Genomic DNA, 20,999 nt, shown 5'->3' with positions numbered 1-20,999 from the left:
TCCCAGATGAGGGAGAATAGTGGGAACTGTCCCTTTGCAGGCGCACAGTGTGGTGGGTGTATGCAAAGGGAGCATGTAAGCAGGCACATGTGTAGGTATGTTTGTGTATTGTGTGAGTGCATCTGCACATCGGGAGCTGTATGTACTCCAGGTGGGGCTTTGCGGATGGGTTTGCAGAATCACTTTGTGAGCTGGGAGATTGGGAGTCAGGAGAGAGACCCCATGTTCTCTGGTTCTGGAACTCTGGGATGAGGTAGCTCTAGACACACTGCCCCTTGTCCTGTCCACGAAGTAGTGCTCTTTCCTGCTTTTTTCTTCCCGCAGCCACATGCAGCAGAGCCCACTTGGCCTGGCCTCCTGGCCCCTGCCCCTCTACCCTTTCCCTGTGTGCCTCCTGTGCCTTCTGCCCACCCAGCCTCATCTTCACTTTGAATTTTTAACTTTGTGGTGGGAAGCCAAGGAATTAGTGAGTATGGTTGGTTGAGGAGGGGAGGCCAAAAGGAGAAAAGGCTTGGTGTGGTAGGGAAGATCGGGGAGATCCGTGGTTTGAGGCTGGACCTTGGCAGCCTTGTGTCCCACCATTACTGCTCGAATTCCCCCAAAATCTCTGTTTGGGAGTGGGGAGCAAGTGAATAATACAAAGACGAGCAGAGTAAGGGAGCCATGCAGGAGGATGGCGGTGGGGAGAAAAACATTTTGACCCCCAGATAGTAATTTCCGCAGGCCAACTAGTGGCTCTTGCATTTCTGTCCAGACACCCAGCTTTGCCTGGAAATTGTTTTGCATTAAATTTTCTCAGCCGCAGAATTATCTTTCCTCGCCTCCAGCTAAACTTGCATTTTTCCACCAGACACTTGGGCCCCGCACCAATGAAATCTGAGAGGAAGCGGCTGGGCCCTAAGTGGCCGTAATTTAATTGATTTTATCATAAATCATCAACTTGATGAAGAACCCGAGGTTTCAGTGAAGTAAATTGATATTAATGGGAGTTTCTTGAAATGCAAACTCGCTGCATTGTTGGGGCATCTTGAGCTGGGGAGGTAGATTACACATTTCCCAAGAGCAGAGAGCAGAGACCTGGAGCCCAGCACAGCTTTGGGGGTAGGGAAAGCAAGCTTTGAGGTGCAGCTGCCGGCAGACCTATTTCTATGGGGAAGCACAGCAGAGCGTGGAACTTTGTCATGAGGGACACAGTCTGGCCCTGTGGACCCTGCTGGCCATCTGGGGGAATGCTTGTCTCCAACTGAGGGGGAGGCAACTGGGAAGGCTGGTAGGTGTATGGGCAGGGAGGGGGTCGGGTGAGAGGGCTCGGCTGGTACAATGGGTGCATTGATGCCTGGTTAAAAATTGCCAGGTTGAAACCTTCCTCCTTTAATTAGACTAATTAATTATTTACTGCTCAAGTTGCAGTGTCTAAATATAGCACTTTTGGTTTGGTAATGAGGGTAGAAAACAACCCACCCTACACACAGAAGAGCAGTAAAACGCAGTGCATGAGCCTCTATGGGGCAAGGGAGGGCCAGGCATCGGGTTGGTGCTCAGTGGTGGTAAGCATTTAAACCTCAAGAGGAAATACTCTGAATCTGGTGACGATGGTGCCCGTTATTGTCTGAACTCAGTTTATTACTTCTTGTCACTCACTTTTACATCAGCACATGGAGAATCACTAACATTCAGTCCAAAAAGAGACCTTAGAGATCATTTAGCTAAACCCCTTCCCTCCATACACATGCCCAGGCTTTACAGAAGGGGACACTCAGGCCCAAGGAGTGCCCTGCCTCATGTCACATAGCCAAGCTGGAACATCTGAAATTCAGGCCTTCCAACTCCCAAGCCTATCCCAAGTATGACTCTAGACAAATCACTTCCTTGCTCTGGGCCTCAGTTTCCTGATCTGTAACAATGGCAAGAGTTGGACTGGACACTTCCTGATTTCTCTCCTGTTCTGAAATTGGGCACCTCTGTGTGTACCCATCCTCAGCAGGACAGTGCATGGGAGGCACTCCCTTGTGTGTCCTGGAGCTCTGTGGGCATCTGGGTATAGAAGTTACTGCATGTTTATTTGCAATATTCAGAGTTTACATACACCCAGAGCAGTGGATGCTTACTCAGTCTGGCTCTAGGAAATCCACTGGAATCTGGACTATTCCTCTTTCTGAAGGTGCCCTTATTCTCAGCTGAGGAGTAGCCCTGAGGAGAGCAGTGGAACTAGAAGGAAGTGGTGAGGGGCCAGCTAGCTGGGTTGGGTTGAGATTGGCATTTGGAGAAGGGCTAAGTAAAGAAGGGCTGGGCCTTACTGAGCAAGAGTCTTTCCCTGCCAGGCACTGGGCTAAGGCTGTCATTGTTCAGTGTGTGTGTGTGTGTGTGTGTGTGTGTGTGTGTGTGTGTGTGTTTTGAGACGGAGTTTCGCTCTTGTTGCCCAGGCTGGAGTGCAATGGTGCAATCTCCACTCACCACAACCTCTGCCTCCTGGGTTCAAGCGATTCTCCTGCCTCAGCCTCCCGAGTAGCTGGGACTACAGGCATGCGCCACCACACCTGGCTAATTTTGTATTTTTAGTGGAGACACGGTTTCGCCATGTTGGTCAGGCTGGTCTCGAACTCCCAACCTCAGGTGATCGCCTGCCTCGGCCTCCCAACAGAGTGTGGTTTTTAAGGTGCCCCCTACCCCAGCCCAGGGACTGAACAGTGGTTTCAGAGTTTAGATTCTGTGATAGCAGGTGCCTCCCTTCTCAGCCTCACCCCAACCCTGGGCCTCTGAGCCCTGGCTTCTTGGGAGGAAGCACACACAGGGTGCCACAGCACTCTACCGGGTCTCCTCTAGGGTAGCCAGGACAGAAGGCCTGCATGGTGGAAGACTCCCACTCTATACTTGCTTTTATTTTCCAGCTCCTCCCCCAGTTCCAAAGGAGTGGTGGCTTCTCAATTGCATGGTTGTGAGCAAGGAAATTTCTTGCAGGATCAGGGATGTGAAGAGGCTAGCAGGGGAGGGGAGGTTTCCAGGCTGCCTTGGGAAGTGTGGTTTGGAATATGAATTCCGGGGAAGGAGGGAAGAAGAAGATGGGAAGAGATGGGAAACAACCTCATCTTTGGGGCTCTGGAAATCTGAGACACTGGGCAGATAATCCACTTCCTAAAGCCTAGCCCCAAACACTAATTTGAGAGAGAAAAAAAAAACAAAAGAGCTGGCAGGCCCAGACTCTGGCTCTGTCCCATTCTGACTTCGGAGTTTTATATTTGGAGGCAATTCGGAAGGCCTTTCGCTGATTGGTCATTAATCCACTGAGTTATTGTCTGCTAAACAGAGGTCACTGGGAGAGAAACATCCAGTCTGTCAGGAGAGGCCCGCTGAACCTCAGGGACTGGGCCCGTTCCTCTTTTCCTGCTTCTCCCTCCCTTTCCCAGCACCCCCTGCAGCCCCCAAGCTGCCCAGGATTTGCAGCCTCCCTTCCTCTGCCTTCTCTGCTCTGCCCACCTTTGTCTCAACACTTGCTGGGGGTGGGGTTTGCCAGGCTAAGGCTGAGCTTCTAGGTGAGGCGGGAGCCCTGATTCAGATTGGGATCTATCACCACCAAGGAGCCCACCTGCCTGAGGCTCCCAACTCGCTGGCAGCACCGCCATCCCCTCATTAGCATGTTCAGGCGGCCTCCGTGGTCATCGAGTGGACTTCGCAGACCCTTGTGGCTGCCCTTTTTGTCCTGCCACCCCTTCACAGGCTCAGCTGGGGAGAGGGCAGCGCCCCCACACGTGGGGTGGGGAAAAAGTACAGCTTGGATTTTTCTTCTTCCACTGCAGCGACCTTTTTCTTCTTTTGATCCCCACTATTGCTGAGCAGTGTCTATGCGAGTCTCCTCTTCTCCCTTCCGGGTGCCCCTTTGTTCCCTCCTGCTCTGGCTTATTGGAGAGCTGGAGATGGGGATCCAAATGCCAAGAGCCTTCTTCATTAGCAATTCCCACTTTACAACTCCCAGCTTTGAAATCTTCGTTAATACTTAGGGGAAAATGGAGATTCGGGTGAGTGTGTGACCTTTACACCACTTTTCTAGGGCTACAAAGTTGGGCAGTGAAGCTGGAAAACAGTGTGGGACTGGGAACCCAGACAGGGCCAGGAAGAAACACATCGCCAAACATCTCGCCCCAGGCTTACAGGTCCTAGCTCCCAAGCTAGCCTTTGGGCCAGGCAAATTTTGTGTGGATTGAGCCAGGGGCAGGATCCTTGACTGCCCCAAGTCTGAGATCAGAAATTGGTTTTAAAAGAGCCAACCAGTATGCCCTTATTGAGAGAATTTTTGTTTGCTAGTTGATGCATTTTTGGGGGAGGAGAGAAACAGGCACGATCCCGCCGCCGAGGTCTAGAAGGGCGGGTAGCCCTTGATTGTTCCAGAGGGTTTAAAGTGCTCCCGTCGCCTGATACTGGGTACCCAGTGGGGTGGGGGAGAGAAGTGCCAGAGCGAGTGCTCTGGCTCTGAAGAAACGGAATGGAAGAGGAAAAGATGTCTGTGAAGAAGGGCATTTTCTCTAATCTTTACCCTTATTATTTTTTTACTTCATTAGTTTATGCTAGTGTCTCTGTCTCTTACTCAATTTTCCTCTTTTTCAATTTCTCTTTCTCCTCCTTTCTCTCTCTCTCTCTCTCACACACACACACACCCTACACACATGGGCACACACACACAGTTTTCCAGGTTTCCCTCCCAAATCCAAGAAGAAATTGTTCCCTCTTCTGTATCTCCAGTCTGTTCCGAAATCATGGCTTCACTCTCAGGGATGATAAGCCCTTCTCCTGCTTCTCTTTTCCCAGACCCCAAAGTCTTCCCTCAGCCTGCTCTGGCGTCCCCCACCCCAAGTTCCCTGCTCAAACTCCTCACTACCAGCCTTTATCCCCTGAAGTTTGAAAATCCCCTGGCTAGCAGCAACACCTCAGTCCAAACAGGGGCCCTTAGGGGTGCCTGTTCCACCCTCCGTCCTCCAGCCTCCCAGCCCTAATCAGAGGGCAGCCCGCCTGCTCGCCAGAGACCTCTGAGAATGGAAGAAAAAAGGCAAGACAGAAACTAAACTGGGATCTAATTGCCTCCCAAGTATTCCAAATGGGCTCTGTACTCCAGAATTAAGAAGCCCCCACTCCATCTCCTACCGCATTTGGGGGTATATGTCCTCTGAGATTTTCTCCAGGTTCATTTTCTTGCTTCTCGGTCCTCTTTTTCACTCCCACCCCACTATGCCCCACTGCCTTCTGTAGCCCGAGGGACCACAAAGAGTTGAGGAGGCTTGGGGAAGGGAGGGGTCTGCTGTTGTCTCTGGAACACTCCTCCACTCCCAGCTCAGCTCCAGGCCCGCTTCTCCTGCAGCCGGCCCGAGGCTGCCTGGGTGCCTTCTGGACTCTCGTGTTATTCCTAGAGGCAAAGCTGCGCAGTCCCAAAAGCGATCAGGTTCTCCTCTTCTCTCAGTTTTACAATGACCTTCTCTAACCCAATGATAGTAACAGCTAGGACAGCAGAGGTTTTGAGGTACATTCTTGGCTTTTTTTTTATTTGGGGGAGTGATAGAAAAAAAAACCCCAAAGGTACTGGTTTCTTTAAGCCTCTGGAAGCCTCCCTGGCCTGAGTCCCTGACCCACCAAGCTCAAAGTTACATGGGGTCTGACCCTGTAGGTCTCTAACCAGAGTGTAGAGATCTCAGGACAGACTTTTTGCAGCCACATGCTCAGGCACCCCTAACAGGTCTCTTTGGGGTTCCAGGCTGGCTTGAGCCCCAAGTCTAGGTCTGACTTGGATGTTTTATTTTCTTGATACTACTAATAAACACAGAAAAATACTAATAAACACAGAATAATAGCTAATAAACACAGAAAAATAGCTCCCACCCTCCATCCCCATGTCCCCCAACCCGTGCTTCCCCCCAGCTGTCAACTTTCTAGGTGGGAGGTGGGGTCCTCAGGACATTACATTCTGAGGCTCTGCAAGTGGCTTCTGTTGCTGGAGGGCAGGAAGGCCATAGGTACCCCCAGTTTATCAGGGCCCCTGGAAACCGGCTGCTCCAAATCACCTGGCCTGACTTAGCCTTGCCTGGAAGAAGTAGGGGCTGGAGGCCAGGGGCCACTCCCTATCTCATCCCAAAGTAGAGCCTGTGAGTGGGGAGAGAGAGGGAATGAGGGAAGCTTTGCCAGACACCTCCAACCTATGCTGGAGGGAACACAAAAGCTGGAAATCAACTCTCACCTTTGTTGTCCCCAGTCCCGTTCCCTCTTCTGGTGCATCCAGATGGGAGAAGGCAAAAGCCAAGTATTCTAACCAGGAAATCACAGGGTAGTGCCTTACATGAAGTTAAGAGGACCAGTTTTCCAAGCTGCCTTTAGAGAAAAGAGTCAGCTTTCTATTTCATCCCCTAGCTCCGAGTCAGCAGTTAGGCAGAGTTGCAAACACTCCTGCTTTGGGAAATGTCCTGGTGCTCTTTTTGTCTTTTCCTTCCTCCCGGAATGACTATTCCCCACCCCCTGTCCCAAATCTGCAGACACCTACATTTTTGGCTCCTGTCTTCCTCCTACAGGCCTCCTCCTTGCCTTTTCCTGCCCTGCTCAAACACACCCTAAGAAAACTTTAGCTTTTGTGGCCTTCCTCACTTGTGCCAAGAGTCATAAATCTTGCAGGGCAGAGAGAAACAAACAGGGTTGTTCTGAATAATAATAATAACCATCTTCCATCTCTTCTGCCAGTGCATTTAAAATTAAGCGACCCTGCTAGTTCTTCTCTTCTTAGAAGTACAAATGTCCTTATCACCTCTTAGCCCCTTCTGCCTATTCGGAGGTGAGAATCATAACAGAAACTTATCCATGAAGTTCTTTCAGCCCGTCTACTGCCAGCCAGTCTGGAGCTCAAACTAAAACACAGAGTCCTCCTTTTGTCACCCTTTTCTCAACCCTCCTCCCCCTGCAAGATGTTCAGAGTTTTTAAAATCATCACTCACCGCTTGTTGTCTGTTCTCAAAAAGAAAAAGGGGGAGGGGTGTTTTTTTTTTTTTTTTTTTTTTAAGTTCTGGTCTTTCCCTCTCCCTTGGTTAGAGACTGGGCCTGGAGACTGGAGGGAGATTTGGGAGGAATAGAGAGGGTGTAGTGGAGGGAAGAAGCCGGGGCTGGAGACTCAGAAGGAGGGAGCCAGAGTGTGAGGGTTGGAGACCCAGAACTACTTTCTAAAAAAGTCCTGGTGTTCCAATTGCGAATGAGTGCAGAGGGGCACCCGGCACCCTCACCCCCGGGCCAGGCCTGCCTTTGACTCAGCCTCCAAATACTACTTCTCATATTAGCATAATAGTTCACTAGTGGGGTATGGGGGGAGCTGTGAACTTCACCGCCCTTCCTTGCCTTTGCTCACCTCTTCCTCCCTGTCCCTCCAATCTAGATTTAAATTTTTACCTGTTCTTTAAGGAAAAAAAAAAAACCCTCCTTCTTTTCTTCTTACTCTTTTTTTGGGGAGGCGGGTATTTTAAAATTTCCCCCCTTCCCCATCACCACCATCACCTTCCCTCCTTATCAGGCATCTAAGCTTGCTAAAGGGGGAGAGGTGGGGGGGTGTGAGCTTGTGTGTGAGTGAGTGTGTGTGTGTGTCTGTGTGGTTTTTTTTCCCTGTGCAAAAGCAGAGGCCATTGTTACGGAGAGTAGGGCGTACCAGTCTTATAGGGCAACCACACTGTGGCGGCTTAGCCCTGCTGGAGCCCGGAGCTGGATTCTGGCGAGCTGAGCCGCCCGGCACCTTTCGGTCTTCTATTTTTTTTCCCGCTCCCCCACCCCCTCCCTCCTGCGCACCCCTGCTCCTAAGCCGAGTGAATTGAAGCGGACGCCGCGCGGCTCCTCTGGCCGGTCTGCCCCTCGGGCTCCCCAGCCGGGGTGGCTTTGCGGGGCGGGGGCGGGGGGGCGGGGGGCGACGCAGCTTTAAACAGTGGTCTTTTTTTCCTTTGCCTTCAAGGAGGGGAGATTTGTCGCCTGCCGCTCGCTCTGGGGCTCGATGTGAATATATATTATGTCTGCCTGTTCTCCCCTCGTCGGTGGCTAAGGTAAGCTGGACTGAAATAGGCTATCAGTTTGTGAATGGCGGAGAGTATGTCTCAATGATTTATGGCCCATATGACTCCAATCTCGGTTCAAGAAGAGTTCACAAGCTTTAAGCTTCCTTCCACGCAGCGACTCTCTCTCTCCCTCCCTCCCTCCCTCCCTCCCTCCCTCTCTCTCTCTCTCTCTCTCTCTCTCTCCCTCTCTCTCTCCCCTCTCTCTTCCTGCTTCTCTCCTCTTTTCTCCTCTCTCTCTTTTCTTTCAGCAGCCAGATCCAGGGCTGAATTTTCTCCGCGGCTGCTAAGAAAGTCTCAACCTTTCTCTGTCTTCCTTTCTTGTTATTTTTCTTTCTCCCATTAATTTTTTTAAGTCCTGGAAGATGGCCTATCCCCTCTCTCGGGGCTTCCCCAGCTATTGTTACTCTCCTGGCTCTCCCTGGGGTGTGCTTGGCAAGGTGGGGTTCTTGCGGGGGGCTCATCTCCCTTCTCCAGCGAGACCCTGGGGGGAAGCCGGCAGCCACCGTCTCCCTCCCTCCCTCCCGAGGAGCCATATGGAACCTGAATTTTTCCAACATGGAGGCAAGGGAAATAGATCTGTTTGGCTTGGTAGAGTTGTTCCCCACCCCCTCTTGTTCTGGATCCCAGATCTTGGGTCCCCTTAGCACCTTTCTCTCTTCCCACTGTCCCGTCCGCCAGGCCTCGGCGCCCTCCAACCCGGAGCCCTGCTGAGCAAAGTCCCGAAGCGGAGTTTCTAAGGCGCCTTTTAATTCGGTTACCTCCAGCTCCCAAAACTTGCTGCCGCCCGCGGGGCTCGGCCCTCGGCCGGCTGGTGTGCTGGGAACCTGCCTCCGATAACCGTTTTGGTGTCCTGATCGCTTGCTCTTCTTCGCCTCCTTGGGCCATCGTAGGTGGCTGGTAGCTTGTCGCCAGTCGCCGCGGCAGCAGCGACCGGCTGAGGCAGCCTGGCAGCAGCAGCCAGGGACTACCCGGGTGCACAAACCTTCCCAGCCCTGTCTGCACCACCGGCGGAGTCTCCATTCTTTCCTATCGCGTCTCTGGCTCCTTCGCTTTCCACACTCGCCTGGCCTCCGTCCCGCGATGGTTTGGGGTTTATTGCAAGGGGAGCGGCAGGAATTTCGGCCCCAGGCATCTAGTTAAATTATTGTTTTATTATTATTACTATCATCATCATCGTCATCATTATTATTGCTGTAACAATCAGACTAAATAAAGCCAGGGCCTAGCCAGCCAACCCCCTCCAACGTTTTTATTTCATTCTCTTCTCTATTAATAACAACCACAACTAATGCCTGTTAATTAATTCCCCCTTCAGCCAGGGCTGCTTGGAAGCTAATTTTGGTTAAATCAGCAGAGGCTAATGGTAATAATAATAAAGGGATTGGGTCAGCCTGGTCAATTGAACTCTGGTTCTCCCTGGAAGGACCTGCTGCTTTGCAGACCCATGTGTATTTCCAGAAACCAATCGGAACTCAGGGTTACACTGATTCCCTTTTGAGTATAAATCTGTGCCATGAAGAAGGGGATTTATGTGAGGGAGGGACTTTTCTTCACCTGCACTCCTTTTATTTTATTTTCCTATGTTTAGTTTTCTTTGGAGTTGAACAGCTAGGCTGAATGAGATTAAAGTTTTCCAAACACACATGGCAGTATGGAGGTTTTATGAAAAGTGATGGTGAAGAGTTGGGAGAGATGGAGGGAAAAAAATGCAGTCAGAAGTTTCAGAACAAATACACAAAATCCTATGTTAGTTTGAATCTTTATTTTTCTGGCACACTTTTAAAAGGCTGTATTAAAATAGTGATTTTTTTTTTTTGCCTCAGGGAACCTCAGTCAACAGGAATACCTCTGTTTCTAACCTAGAGAATAATATTGTTAAAATTGCTTTGTTAATTTTTTTTTCCTCAGGAATAATTTTCTCTTTTGGAAAGCACTTTCCCCGTCTCAGTAGAAAAGTCTAGCAGTTGTAACTTCTTGTTTCTTATTTGCTTTGGGGGAAATCAAAGAAAACAGACGGTGAAGGAAAGGGTGGGAAAAATTAAGTCTCATGAAAAAAAAAAAAAGAGGTCCGGGGAGAGACCTGGGCCAAATGGTCACAGCACCAACTGGCGTGGCCCAGGAAATTGAAACAATCCTGCTCCATGTGGGGGCCCCACAGGGCCACTGGCTGCCCGATCCCAGGTTTGGCTGAGCAAAGACAAGGGCTGGAGGTGGTGGTACCTGCAGCAGGGCCATGGACAGATGAGTCTCGGTTCAGCTGGCTCTTGAGGTTAAAAATCATCAGGAAGTTTCTAGGTCAGGCTGTTGTTGTCTTCCTGGTGGGAGAGTGGTGGGAAGTGGAGAGGATACCTCACAAGAGAAGCTTCTCTGCTGAACTTGCTTCTCCTGCCTGTTCTTTTAGGAGATCCTTTGGTTTTCCTTCAGGCTAGACTTTGCTTGGGCAAGAGACCTAAACCGACTTGGAAGGAGGCAAAGGCTGGAAGCATAGAAGCCTCTGGGCTCAGAGGAGGGTGTTGATGATGCTTTTATTTTGGAGTCTCCTAGTGTCCCCTCCCTTGAGCCATCCTATCCCAGAGTTGGGGAGGAGAGATAGGGAGAGAGGGACTAGGGGAGGTCAGGGGCTAGTGCACAGGCAGGAGAGAAGCAATGGCCTTTGCCATAGATTCTACATCTAGGCAGTCTTGAAAGGCATATAGTCTTTATTTATTTTTTTATTTTTTAGTGGAAATGAAAACTGGTGGGCTTTTTTTTCTCAGCATCTGCTTTGGAGATGTTGGGGAGGGGAAAAGAAAAAACCCTATTGATGTCAGTTCCCTTTTCAGTTCCTAAGATGGATTCGAGCCCCAGTCCTCTTCTCCCCCTTGTGTCTCTTCTCTCGCCTCGCAGGTCAGCCGCTTGGAACAGACCCCGGAGGAGGGGGGCAGAGAGGGGAGGTGGGGGGGGGGGGTCCGGCGTGTCACGTGACCCCCAGGGTTGCCAATGTCCGGTCCTGAGGGTATCAGGCCTTTCCAAGTTGCCACCCACTGCCCAGGCCTCACCCAGCGATGCAGAAAGCCACCTACTACGACAACGCCGCGGCTGCTCTCTTCGGAGGCTATTCCTCGTACCCTGGCAGCAATGGCTTCGGCTTCGATGTCCCCCCCCAACCCCCATTTCAGGCCGCCACGCACCTGGAGGGCGACTACCAGCGCTCAGCTTGCTCGCTGCAGTCCCTGGGCAACGCTGCCCCACATGCCAAGAGCAAGGAGCTCAACGGCAGCTGCATGAGGCCGGGTCTGGCCCCCGAGCCCCTGTCGGCCCCGCCTGGCTCACCCCCGCCCAGTGCCGCACCTACCAGTGCCACTAGCAACAGCAGTAATGGGGGCGGGCCCAGCAAAAGTGGTCCCCCAAAGTGCGGTCCCGGCACCAACTCCACCCTCACCAAACAGATATTCCCCTGGATGAAAGAGTCGAGGCAAACGTCCAAGCTGAAAAACAACTCCCCCGGCACAGGTACCAGTTCTCTGCCTTCCTTGTCCTCAGCTTTTGTCGGAGCCAGGAATGTCACTGTTATTCTAGCACCCAGCCCCTAGGCGCCCGCGAGGCTGCCTGGGAACAATATTAGGTGGCCAGCGGGTACATTTTTGATACCCCTACCCCCTAATGACCCCTGACCCCGCCAACACCCTCCTCCCTCTAGCTGCCCTCCACCGGAGCTTCTGAAAGCTCCAGAAGGCCCAGTGCGTGGCCTCAAAGCCCTTCCCAAGGCCACAGAGCCAAGACGAGGCGCTGCCGGGAGGATGCAGAGTCGTCAACGATTGATTATTATTAAGTATGATTACTGTGGGTATTAATCACAATCGCTTGGACGGCCCGGGGTCCCGGCCTCCAGAAACGGCAGCCTCTTCGTGCCACACTTCCTGCCCACGAGTGTCCAGATTACCCCGAGGATTCTCCTCAGTCTCCCATCCTGTCCTCAGGACGGGGTGGGCGGGGAGGGGAAATGTCTTCCCTGACCTGGAATTGGGGATAAGGGGGAGAAAGCACGCACGCGAAAATCCAGCCCTAAATAAATGGCCATGCGGCTCTGTCTGCGTGACATGATCAAATTTTCATAAGCTGGGGCAGCGAAAGGAGAACAGGTCTCTTAATAAATGCCACTATTATAGAGTGTCCGCTAATGCGACGGGCGGTGGGGTGGGGGAGTGAGGAGGCGGCGGGGACCCGAAGGGGAGGGCGGCGGGGGCTCTGAGTCCAGGCCTGGATTTATTAAGAAACGATGCATTCAATTTCGGCGTGTTCAGTAATTATCTTTTATTTCATTTTCTCCCCTTCCCACCCCTCCCCCTCGGATCCAGCAGAGGGCTGTGGTGGCGGCGGCGGTGGCGGCGGCGGCGGAGGCAGTGGTGGCAGCGGGGGCGGTGGCGGCGGCGGCGGGGGAGGGGACAAGAGCCCCCCGGGGTCGGCGGCGTCCAAGCGGGCGCGGACGGCGTACACGAGCGCGCAGCTGGTGGAGCTGGAGAAGGAGTTCCATTTTAACCGCTACCTGTGCCGGCCTCGCCGTGTAGAGATGGCCAACCTGCTGAACCTCAGCGAGCGGCAGATCAAGATCTGGTTCCAGAACCGGCGCATGAAGTACAAGAAGGACCAGAAGGCCAAGGGATTGGCCTCGTCGTCGGGGGGCCCATCTCCAGCCGGCAGCCCCCCGCAGCCCATGCAGTCCACGGCCGGCTTCATGAACGCCTTACACTCCATGACCCCCAGCTACGAGAGCCCGTCCCCACCCGCCTTCGGTAAAGCCCACCAGAATGCCTACGCGCTGCCCTCCAACTACCAGCCCCCTCTCAAAGGCTGCGGCGCCCCGCAGAAGTACCCTCCGACCCCGGCGCCCGAGTATGAGCCGCACGTCCTCCAAGCCAACGGGGGCGCCTACGGGACGCCCACCATGCAGGGCAGTCCGGTGTACGTGGGCGGGGGCGGCTACGCGGATCCGCTGCCGCCCCCTGCCGGCCCCTCCCTCTATGGCCTCAACCACCTTTCCCATCACCCTTCCGGGAACCTGGACTACAACGGGGCGCCCCCTATGGCGCCCAGCCAGCACCACGGACCCTGCGAACCCCACCCCACCTACACAGACCTCTCCTCTCACCACGCGCCTCCTCCTCAGGGTAGAATCCAAGAAGCGCCCAAATTAACACACCTGTGATGGGAAAGGGCGAACGAGGATTAGGGGATGGGGAGGAAGAGAGAGACTGTGGAGCTCTGGGGGGCAACCTGGAGGTCTGAAAAGAGGAGCCAGAGAAGGTGGTACCCAGGCTTCCTGGTCAGAACCGGCCTGGAGCTCCTTCCCTTCCCCCTGGCCTGAGAGGTTGCTTTTAAGTCTTCCACCCCTTGTTCCATCTGCCTGCCAACCCATCGGAAAGGAATCCACATCATATTGGAGATGACCCCATCAACCCCAGGGCTCCAGCACTACCAAGTTGGAATTCCACGCCCGGGAGTGGGGTAGAGGAAGACGAGACAGGACGAGGCAGAAAAGCACATTTTAAAAACCAGACAAGATGGCTAGGCCATCACCAACCAACGGACTTACCTTACATCTTTGTAGGTAATTCCCCCCAAATCTTGATTTTTTTTTTTCCTCAATTATCCTTTAAAAAATAAGAAAACACATTTCAAACCCAAAAGGCACAAAACACGTTCCCTTCCAACTTTCCCAAAACCTCAAATTTGTTCCCATTTGAGGTTTATTGAGGTACACTTCTAGCCCCCGGTTTTTCTGCTCTAGAACATTCATATCTATACATCCCACCCCCATCAATTACAGTTTTTAGAGGGCTCAGGGATGGTGAGAGATCCTGAAAGAGCTGCCTATATTATAAATTATATACATTTTTTTTTAAGGAAAAGTGTGGAGGCTAGGGCAGGCAGGTTGTTAGGACTGAAGGTTTGCCCATTCTGCTGCCTCCATCTCAGCTCCAGCTCCATCCCCCTCTCCACAGAAAGCAGTTGGTGACACGAGGTTCTATACTTTTCTTCTGTTGCTCTCTTGACTTAACGTGAAAACAGGGTATATTTGAACAAACTGTCCCAGGCAGGGGCTGGGCAGGGCCTGTGTGCCTTGCTCAGCCTCCTGACAGGACACTTTTGTTGCACTTAGAATTTACATTTTAATGGATGTAAAAACAACTGTGAGAGATGTCTGGGCCTGCAGAAGTCCAGCATTGCTCAAAAAAGCGTGTGTTCTAGTGAACATTTTCATATATATTTATTGGTTATAGCCTGTTAAAATATTTTCTTTTTTGTATTATTTATCCCCCTACATTATGTATTTATATGAGGGAAAAAAAGGAAAAAATTGTACTTTTTTAGTATTTACCTGTTACAAAGGACATTGTGTTTCCTGTCATGTAAAACCAGCTATTTTAGTTACTATTGTACTCTAGAAAAGAGCTGTAGATTTATGTTAAACTCGTACTTACGAACAATTGTAATTAGTTCTAAAAGGCATGAACTCAGCTCCTAATCGTCACTGTATAGTCCTGAATTTGTAGAACTAGAGTTAATTCCCTCTTGGAACTTTCTTTGTTCTTCAGTAGTTACTTTTTTCCTTACCTAAAAGGGTTGTCTGTCAAACAATTCTTGAATAAACTTTCTGTTATCAATTTTATCTTGTCCTGGTGGTCCAATTTAGATAGCAGAGCAAGGCTGCTGACTGCCAAATTTCCCCCAAGGGAAGAAGGACAAGGACAAGGACACTGAAGACCCTTCCCTGGCCTTTTTGTCCACTGCCCAGGTTCCTGTCTCCCCCTTGATATGTCTTAAGTTTAAATACCATTTTCTCACTCATAAGAGCCTGTAACATTTTGCCAACTTCTTCAGCTGTGGTTTAAGTAGCAAGTTGGGAGGTAACGGGGGACTCTTGGATGCTCTCTGTAGGTTTTTCTGTTTGGCCTGTATGCCTCTAGGTTTTTCATTCATTGACCTTTCGTCTGTTAGCTCCTTTGGCCACAGCGTCCATGCACCCCCCACCCCCCACCCCTTCCCACCACCACCAAGAAAATCTGGCCGATTACGGTTTCTTCCACGAAACCTAAACTTCACAATCCTCTTCCGGAGCCACAAAGAAGGTGTCACGTGACCCGAAGCCCAACCACCATTGGGTCTAAAATGAAAACAAAGAAAAATGATTAATCTAAAAAAAAAAAAAAAACAAAACTGAGGCCTAGACTTCTCAGGTCAAACTTTAAAACTAAGTAAAATTAAATCACTAAATAAAACTCGAGGCGGAGGGAGGGGAAGCACGTTCGATTTCCCCTGCCAGAGAAAGGGGAGAGGAGGGTGGGAGAAGCTGTTGGATCCAAGCGTAAATAAAACGGTCCCCAGGCTAATGTGCGGCTCTGTTTCCATCATCCTTGGGAAAACTTCATTTCTTAGTTGTGGTTCCATAAAAGTTTTATCACATTGGAGTGAAAATAGAGAAGGTCTGTCAAAGATGAAATGTCACCGCCGAGTCGCTGGAGCCGATAAGAGCGAGAAGACAGGGCGGCTGAAATATGGAGCTAATTCGTTGAAAGAGAAGCGATGGCTGCTTGCTGAAGAGCTGCATAATTCTAATTGTAAGCGATGTGCCCGCATTGCTTAATTAGGAGCATATATTTGGTGGTAGTGATGTTGGGGGAGTGAGAATCGTTCCAGGCCCTGCCTTAAAGAGAGGGCTGATTTTCATTTTTATGTTGCATCCTGGCAGTCCAAGGTTAGTAATTATAGTCTTTATGCAACAATAAATAACAATAAAAAAGCAACCTGAACTCTACGCCCTCCCCCTTCCCCACCACCAAGTAGGATTTTAACTGGACTCATCCAAGCAGCAAGCAATTTAGCATTGGGTCAGGCTATAATTTAAAGGCATAAGAGCGTGCAAAGTTTGATTGGGATCAAATAACGCTCAAGGGTTTTTCTTTCTTTCTCTTTCTCTCTTCTTCCTTGAATAACATTTTCTGAATGATATAACTAGATGAAGCACCATGTTTGGCTCTGGGGCTGGGTTGGGTTGTTATTTATCTAGCAGGAAAGAGGCCAAGAAAGAGAATTTAGCTTAAGTTTGAAAAACAGAGCTTTGGCTCGAAGCTGGAATTGCAAACAAGAAAAATAAGAACCAACTTGGCTTGGTGTTCCCTATCCTTCTCTTTGGAAGATTCCAGGCGCTCAGCTAAAGCAGCCAAAGACGTGGGTAAAATATCCGTGCTGTTAAATTCACAGCAGGACAGGGGGGCGGGGGAGGGATGTCTCTGAAAAGGAGGGTTCTCTGGGCCCCTTTTAACACCCAAGTTTTCCGCTGTTTGCTAATCTGGCCATAAAATCTGTCAGTGAGGGTTAGAGAGAGCTGTATTTCCTGCAGGGACAGTCTGCCCGAGTTGCCTGAGATAAGCTCTGGATCCTTCAGCCAGCTACAGAAGCTGTTGCTAAACTTTCAGAGGTGTTCAAGGGGGTGGCCAGAGGGAGAACCCACTCTCAGGCCTCCCTGCATGACTTCCAGACAGCTACTATTTGGATTATTCTATGCCCACCCCCATCCACACCTCTAAATGGCAAAAATTGTTTTCTTTGGAGCCTAGTTGCACACTACTGTCGCTGGCCACTTTGCCCAGGTCAGAGCAGCTCTCTCTGTTCTGAGCCCTCCAGAGCATGCCTCCTCGGTCCCTGCAGCCCCCACCTCCAACTCCCCTTTCTCCATCCTCCTCTCCCCCACCCTCATGCTTCTACTCAGACTTCTCTGTCCTTCTTTTTAAGTACTCACGCAGATGTTACACTGACAGAAAGTTTCTAGTTCCAGCTCCGGGCTCAGTTGCCATTTCTCTGCTAACCAGCCTTCTCCTCCTGGCTGGGCAGCAGAGAGAGAGGAGGGGGAGGGGAGGCCAAAGCCATGGGAGTTCTCCAGGCAAACTTTCCACCCAACTTAGCGCTTTCCCTCTGTCCCCATTTCCCATCTGTTTCCCAGCTCTCCCAGAATCACCCTTCTCTTTTGCACCCCCACCCCCACCCCCAGGCCTTTTTAAGGGATGTGAAATTTTGGCTGTTCGCTCTGCTTTCCCAAAGAGCCAAATTCTTTGATGCAATCGGAGGGAGCTGTCAGGGGGCTAAGATTGATCGCCTCATCTCCTCTCCATCCGTCTGACCCACTTATTTAAAAATCTTCCCCCAGATCGACTTTTCATTTTCTGCTTTGAGGCCTAGTTTCCCACCAATTGCTTGGGGCTCAGAGTCTTGTGCCCTCTCCCCATAGTAAATTACAACACTCTAAACTTCAGACTATCTTGGTCTCCTCAAAATAAAATAAATTTTAAAAACATTTTCCCCCAGCAGCCAGAAATGGAATATCATCTCAGTGGTCATTATTTCCACCCCTACCATCTTCAGGGAATTCTTCCTTGTCAGGGATTCTTTTTTTTTTTTTTTTCTTTTTTCTTTTTTAACTAGCACAATGGCAAAAATGGGAGGGAAAGTCTCTTTGTCCTAGGGGAAAATCTCCCCACCACACTCATGCACACACATAACGCTGATCTGAACTTTGAGAGTGCTCTAAGTTAAACCAATGGCTACCTCAGTTCTTGTTCATGTCCCTGGATATGGATACAGATACAAGCTTGAGGCTTGAGTGGGTACATGCACATCTTAGACTCTGCCTGTTTTTGGGGGATGTCACAGAGAAGCATGGAAGCCTGAAAGTGAGGAAAGCAGGGGTACATAAGGGGCAGAGGCAGTGCTGCAAACACTGGGCAGAGAAGAGAACCCAGACCATACAGCGATGGAGGCCAGAGGCCCAAAAATGCCCCTTATGCTCCATCTCACTCCTATGTGTCTGCCTGGGAGTTCCTGTCCATTTCCCAAGATTTAACTGTTGTTTTTGGAGGGTAACAGGGATAGTGGTGTGATGATTGTAAATCTCTTTCTTATTTTCACCTTAATACTGACCTTTTTCAAAGAGTGGAAGCCTCTTTCGACTCCCTCTTCCTCCAACGCGGAGATCCTCACTCATCTTTTCCTGGGGAAGGGGAGAAGGGAAGGGGATGCTGCTGGCCACGTAAAGAAGGCCTTAATTTACTCTATTAAAATACTTGGAAAAGAGGAAGGTTTCTCCCTTAGAGTCTCTTCTTTTCCAGGCTTCTGAAACCTTCTAACCTTCGAAGGGGATGAGGAAAAGGTTCCTCTAGCTTTTCTGGAGAAACGGAGGCATTGGGGAGAGAGCATGTGAGGCACTGGTGTAGGAATGGGGGCTCATGGTGTCCTGGTCGTGGTCCTCTGGTGTTTTTGAATCAATTAAACCAAATAATGCTCTCTGTTTTCCACCAGGCCCAGACGAGCGATTGGCGGAGGCCGGTCCCGTGACCACGAATTCCCTGTAATTTCGCTGGAGTCCTGGGTTTAATAGAGAGAGTCCCCATACGCTTGTATTTATCAGCAATATACAATTATAAAGGCCCAAAATTAAAAAAAAGAGAGACCGAAATCTCCCCCTCCCAAAATCGCTCCATTACATAAATCGGGGGGGGTGCAGGAGGGGGGTCCCTTCCGATCCTCCCTCCTGACGCCCCCCCCAGCAGCCCCCTCCCCCACCATTGAAAGCCATGAATTTTGAATTTGAGAGGGAGATTGGGTTTATAAACAGCCAGCCGTCGCTCGCCGAGTGTCTGACTTCCTTCCCCGCTGTCTTGGAGACATTTCAAACTTCATCAATCAAGGAGTCGACATTAATTCCTCCTCCTCCTCCTTTCGAGCAAACCTTCCCCAGCCTCCAGCCCGGCGCCTCCACCCTTCAGAGACCCAGGAGCCAAAAGCGAGCCGAAGATGGGCCTGCTCTGCCGCCGCCACCGCCGCCGCCACTCCCCGCTGCCCCCCCGGCCCCCGAGTTCCCTTGGATGAAAGAGAAGAAATCCGCCAAGAAACCCAGCCAATCCGCCACGTCTCCTTCTCCGGCCGCCTCCGCCGTTCCGGCCTCCGGGGTCGGATCGCCTGCAGGTCGGTAAGCGTGGTGGGGGTGGGGTGAGGGGCAGCTAGAAGAGGGGGAGAAAAAGCAGTGGAAGGAGGTTTAAAAAAAATGGTGGCGAGCCTGTTGGGGTTCCTTACCCCCTCCATTCCTGGGATGGGGAAGTAGAATATCCCACTGGGGTTCAGGCCTGGCCGCTAACAGCGTCTTTTTTTTTTTCTGTCTCTCTCTCTCTTTCTCTCCCTATGGCTGATTTTGGAAGCTGGTTGGGGAAACGCCTTTTTTTCTGCTAGAAGAAAATGATTTGATTGAGGTTTTCACCCGTATCTGTGTAGGGGAATGAGTATGTTGTTGCTGGGATAGACCCTAGAAGCAGAAAAGATTCGGTCCTTTCTGCCCCAACTCTAGGAGAAGAGGAAGAATTCAGAGCTAGGGAGGAAGAGGGGTGAAGAACAATCTTTCTGACCCTCGCTCCGGTTGAGTTGGAAAGTTCCGAATTGAGGGGTCCACTGGGAGGGCTTGGGAGGGGGATCTGAGGTTCCGGCGCCGAAGGGAGCCGCTCTCCGCCCCCTGCGTGGCCCGTGGGCGGCTCTGAATGCTTTGCCCTGACCCGGGCCGGGGCTGTAGACTAGAGAGGGAGAGAAGAAAACCCAAAAGCAGTAAAGCGAGCGGCTTTGGGGTGGGGGCGGGGGTGGGGTGGCGAGGAAGGGGAGAGGTGATACTGGTTTTGGAGGATGGGGTAGTCCGAACTGAGGTTGGGCTGAGTACACGGCCCGCTATGACGCCGAGCCTGTTTTCCCTGCAGATGGCCTGGGACTGCCGGAGGCTGGTGGCGGCGGGGCGCGCAGGCTGCGCACGGCTTACACCAACACGCAGCTGCTGGAACTGGAGAAGGAATTCCACTTTAATAAGTACCTGTGCCGGCCACGCCGCGTCGAGATCGCGGCCTTGCTGGACCTCACCGAAAGGCAGGTCAAAGTCTGGTTTCAGAACCGGCGCATGAAGCACAAGCGGCAGACGCAGCACCGAGAGCCGCCGGATGGGGAGCCTGCCTGCCCGGGAGCCCTGGAGGACATCTGCGACCCTGCCGAGGAACCCGCGGCCAGCCCGGGCGGCCCCTCCGCCTCGCGGGCGGCGTGGGAAGCCTGCTGTCACCCGCCGGAGGTGGTGCCGGGGGCCTTAAGCGCGGACCCCCGGCCTTTAGCCGTTCGCTTAGAGGGCGCAGGCGCGTCGAGTCCCGGCTGCGCGCTGCGCGGGGCCGGCGGGCTGGAGCCCGGGCCATTGCCAGAAGACGTCTTCTCGGGGCGCCAGGATTCACCTTTCCTTCCCGACCTCAACTTCTTCGCGGCCGACTCCTGTCTCCAGCTATCCGGAGGCCTCTCCCCTAGCCTACAGGGTTCTCTCGACAGCCCGGTCCCTTTTTCCGAGGAAGAGCTGGATTTTTTCACCAGTACGCTCTGTGCCATCGACCTGCAGTTTCCCTAACCTGTTTCCTCCTCCCGGTCCTTTCGACCCCCGCGCTCCTTGGCCGTCTACTGGAAAAATCGAGCCTCTCCCACCCTCAGTCGCATAGACTTATGTGTTTTGCTAAAATTCAGGTATTACTGAATTAGCGTTTAATCCACTCCCTTTCTTCTTCTTCTAAAATATTGGGCACTCGGTTATCTTTTAAAATTCACACAGAAAAATTCCGTTTGGTAGACTCCTTCCAATGAAATCTCAGGAATAATTAAACTCTAGGGGGACTTTCTTAAAAATAACTAGAGGGACCTATTTTCCTCTTTTTTATGTTTTAGACTGTAGATTATTTATTAAAATTCTTTAATAATAGGAAAAGGGGAAAGTATTTATTGTACATTATTTTCATAGATTAAATAAATGTCTTTATAATACCAAAACGAGTGTTTGTGTTGGGACCTAAACTCTTTCCCCGCGGCCCCAAGGCCGGTCCTCACCCCTCCAGGACCTGTGCGAAG

The 20,999-nt window shown here is 51.4% G+C and overlaps 2 protein-coding genes and 2 long non-coding RNA genes across 22 annotated transcripts in view, besides 4 other annotated features; 2 read left to right on the top strand and 2 right to left on the bottom strand.

The window, feature by feature from the left end:
- Positions 1-14,706, top strand: part of HOXB3 (homeobox B3) — a 41,372-nt gene extending 26,666 nt beyond the window's left edge. For 7 of the 18 annotated variants that reach the window (NM_001384750.1, XM_047435900.1, NM_001330322.2 and 4 more), the window contains 3 exons: positions 7,958-8,045; positions 11,216-11,549; positions 12,395-14,706. In NM_001384750.1, coding sequence (NP_001371679.1) covers positions 11,321-11,549; positions 12,395-13,242 — 1,077 coding nt within the window. In that variant the 5' untranslated portion in view covers positions 7,958-8,045; positions 11,216-11,320 and the 3' untranslated portion in view covers positions 13,243-14,706. Of the gene's footprint in view, positions 1-4,509; positions 7,852-7,957; positions 11,550-12,394 lie in introns of those variants that run through there. The other 11 variants (NM_001384749.1, NM_002146.4, NM_001330323.1 and 8 more) reach the window with 9 other exon arrangements.
- HOXB-AS2 (HOXB cluster antisense RNA 2) lies at positions 1,599-7,419 on the bottom strand. Its single transcript, NR_046610.1, has 2 exons — positions 6,218-7,419; positions 1,599-3,990 (listed from the first exon to the last, which is right to left on the bottom strand). It is a non-coding gene; the product is annotated as an HOXB cluster antisense RNA 2 (long non-coding RNA).
- Positions 10,761-11,506: an enhancer, noted in NCBI's record as "H3K27ac-H3K4me1 hESC enhancer chr17:46629432-46630177 (GRCh37/hg19 assembly coordinates)". NCBI's record gives its function as "activates a minimal SCP1, AML or CMV promoter by ChIP-STARR-seq in naive H9 embryonic stem cells {active_cell/tissue: H9 hESC(naive)}" and the evidence as "EXISTENCE:reporter gene assay evidence [ECO:0000049][PMID:30033119]".
- On the bottom strand, positions 12,335-19,225 carry HOXB-AS1 (HOXB cluster antisense RNA 1). The gene is made up of 7 exons (NR_102279.1): positions 19,164-19,225; positions 18,219-18,455; positions 18,012-18,081; positions 15,113-15,201; positions 13,630-13,687; positions 13,174-13,236; positions 12,335-12,552 (listed from the first exon to the last, which is right to left on the bottom strand). It is a non-coding gene; the product is annotated as an HOXB cluster antisense RNA 1 (long non-coding RNA).
- On the top strand, positions 18,467-20,921 carry HOXB2 (homeobox B2). Of its 2 annotated transcripts, none has more exons than NM_002145.4 (2): positions 18,467-19,055; positions 19,829-20,921. In NM_002145.4, exons 1-2 carry the CDS (start codon positions 18,665-18,667, stop codon positions 20,506-20,508), a joined length of 1,071 nt encoding a protein of 356 aa, NP_002136.1. In that variant the 5' UTR covers positions 18,467-18,664; the 3' UTR covers positions 20,509-20,921. The 2 variants fall into 2 exon arrangements, with proteins under 2 accessions (NP_002136.1, XP_005257332.1); XM_005257275.5 differs by having other exon boundaries at positions 18,986-19,682.
- Positions 19,599-20,244: an enhancer, noted in NCBI's record as "H3K27ac-H3K4me1 hESC enhancer chr17:46620694-46621339 (GRCh37/hg19 assembly coordinates)". NCBI's record gives its function as "activates a minimal SCP1, AML or CMV promoter by ChIP-STARR-seq in primed H9 embryonic stem cells {active_cell/tissue: H9 hESC(primed)}" and the evidence as "EXISTENCE:reporter gene assay evidence [ECO:0000049][PMID:30033119]".
- Positions 19,599-20,341: a biological region, named in NCBI's record as "H3K27ac-H3K4me1 hESC enhancer GRCh37_chr17:46620694-46621339".
- Positions 20,052-20,341: a silencer, noted in NCBI's record as "silent region_8652". NCBI's record gives its function as "represses an Ori minimal core promoter by ATAC-STARR-seq in GM12878 lymphoblastoid cells {active_cell/tissue: GM12878}" and the evidence as "EXISTENCE:reporter gene assay evidence [ECO:0000049][PMID:35858748]".
- Positions 20,922-20,999: the final 78 nt, after the last annotated feature.

This window comes from Homo sapiens, chromosome 17, assembly GCF_000001405.40.
Source record: "Homo sapiens chromosome 17, GRCh38.p14 Primary Assembly".
In the NCBI taxonomy this organism is placed as follows: domain Eukaryota; kingdom Metazoa; phylum Chordata; class Mammalia; order Primates; family Hominidae; genus Homo; species Homo sapiens.
The sequence above is the reverse complement of the archived record's forward strand: the minus strand, read 5'-3'. Positions and strand labels throughout refer to the sequence as shown.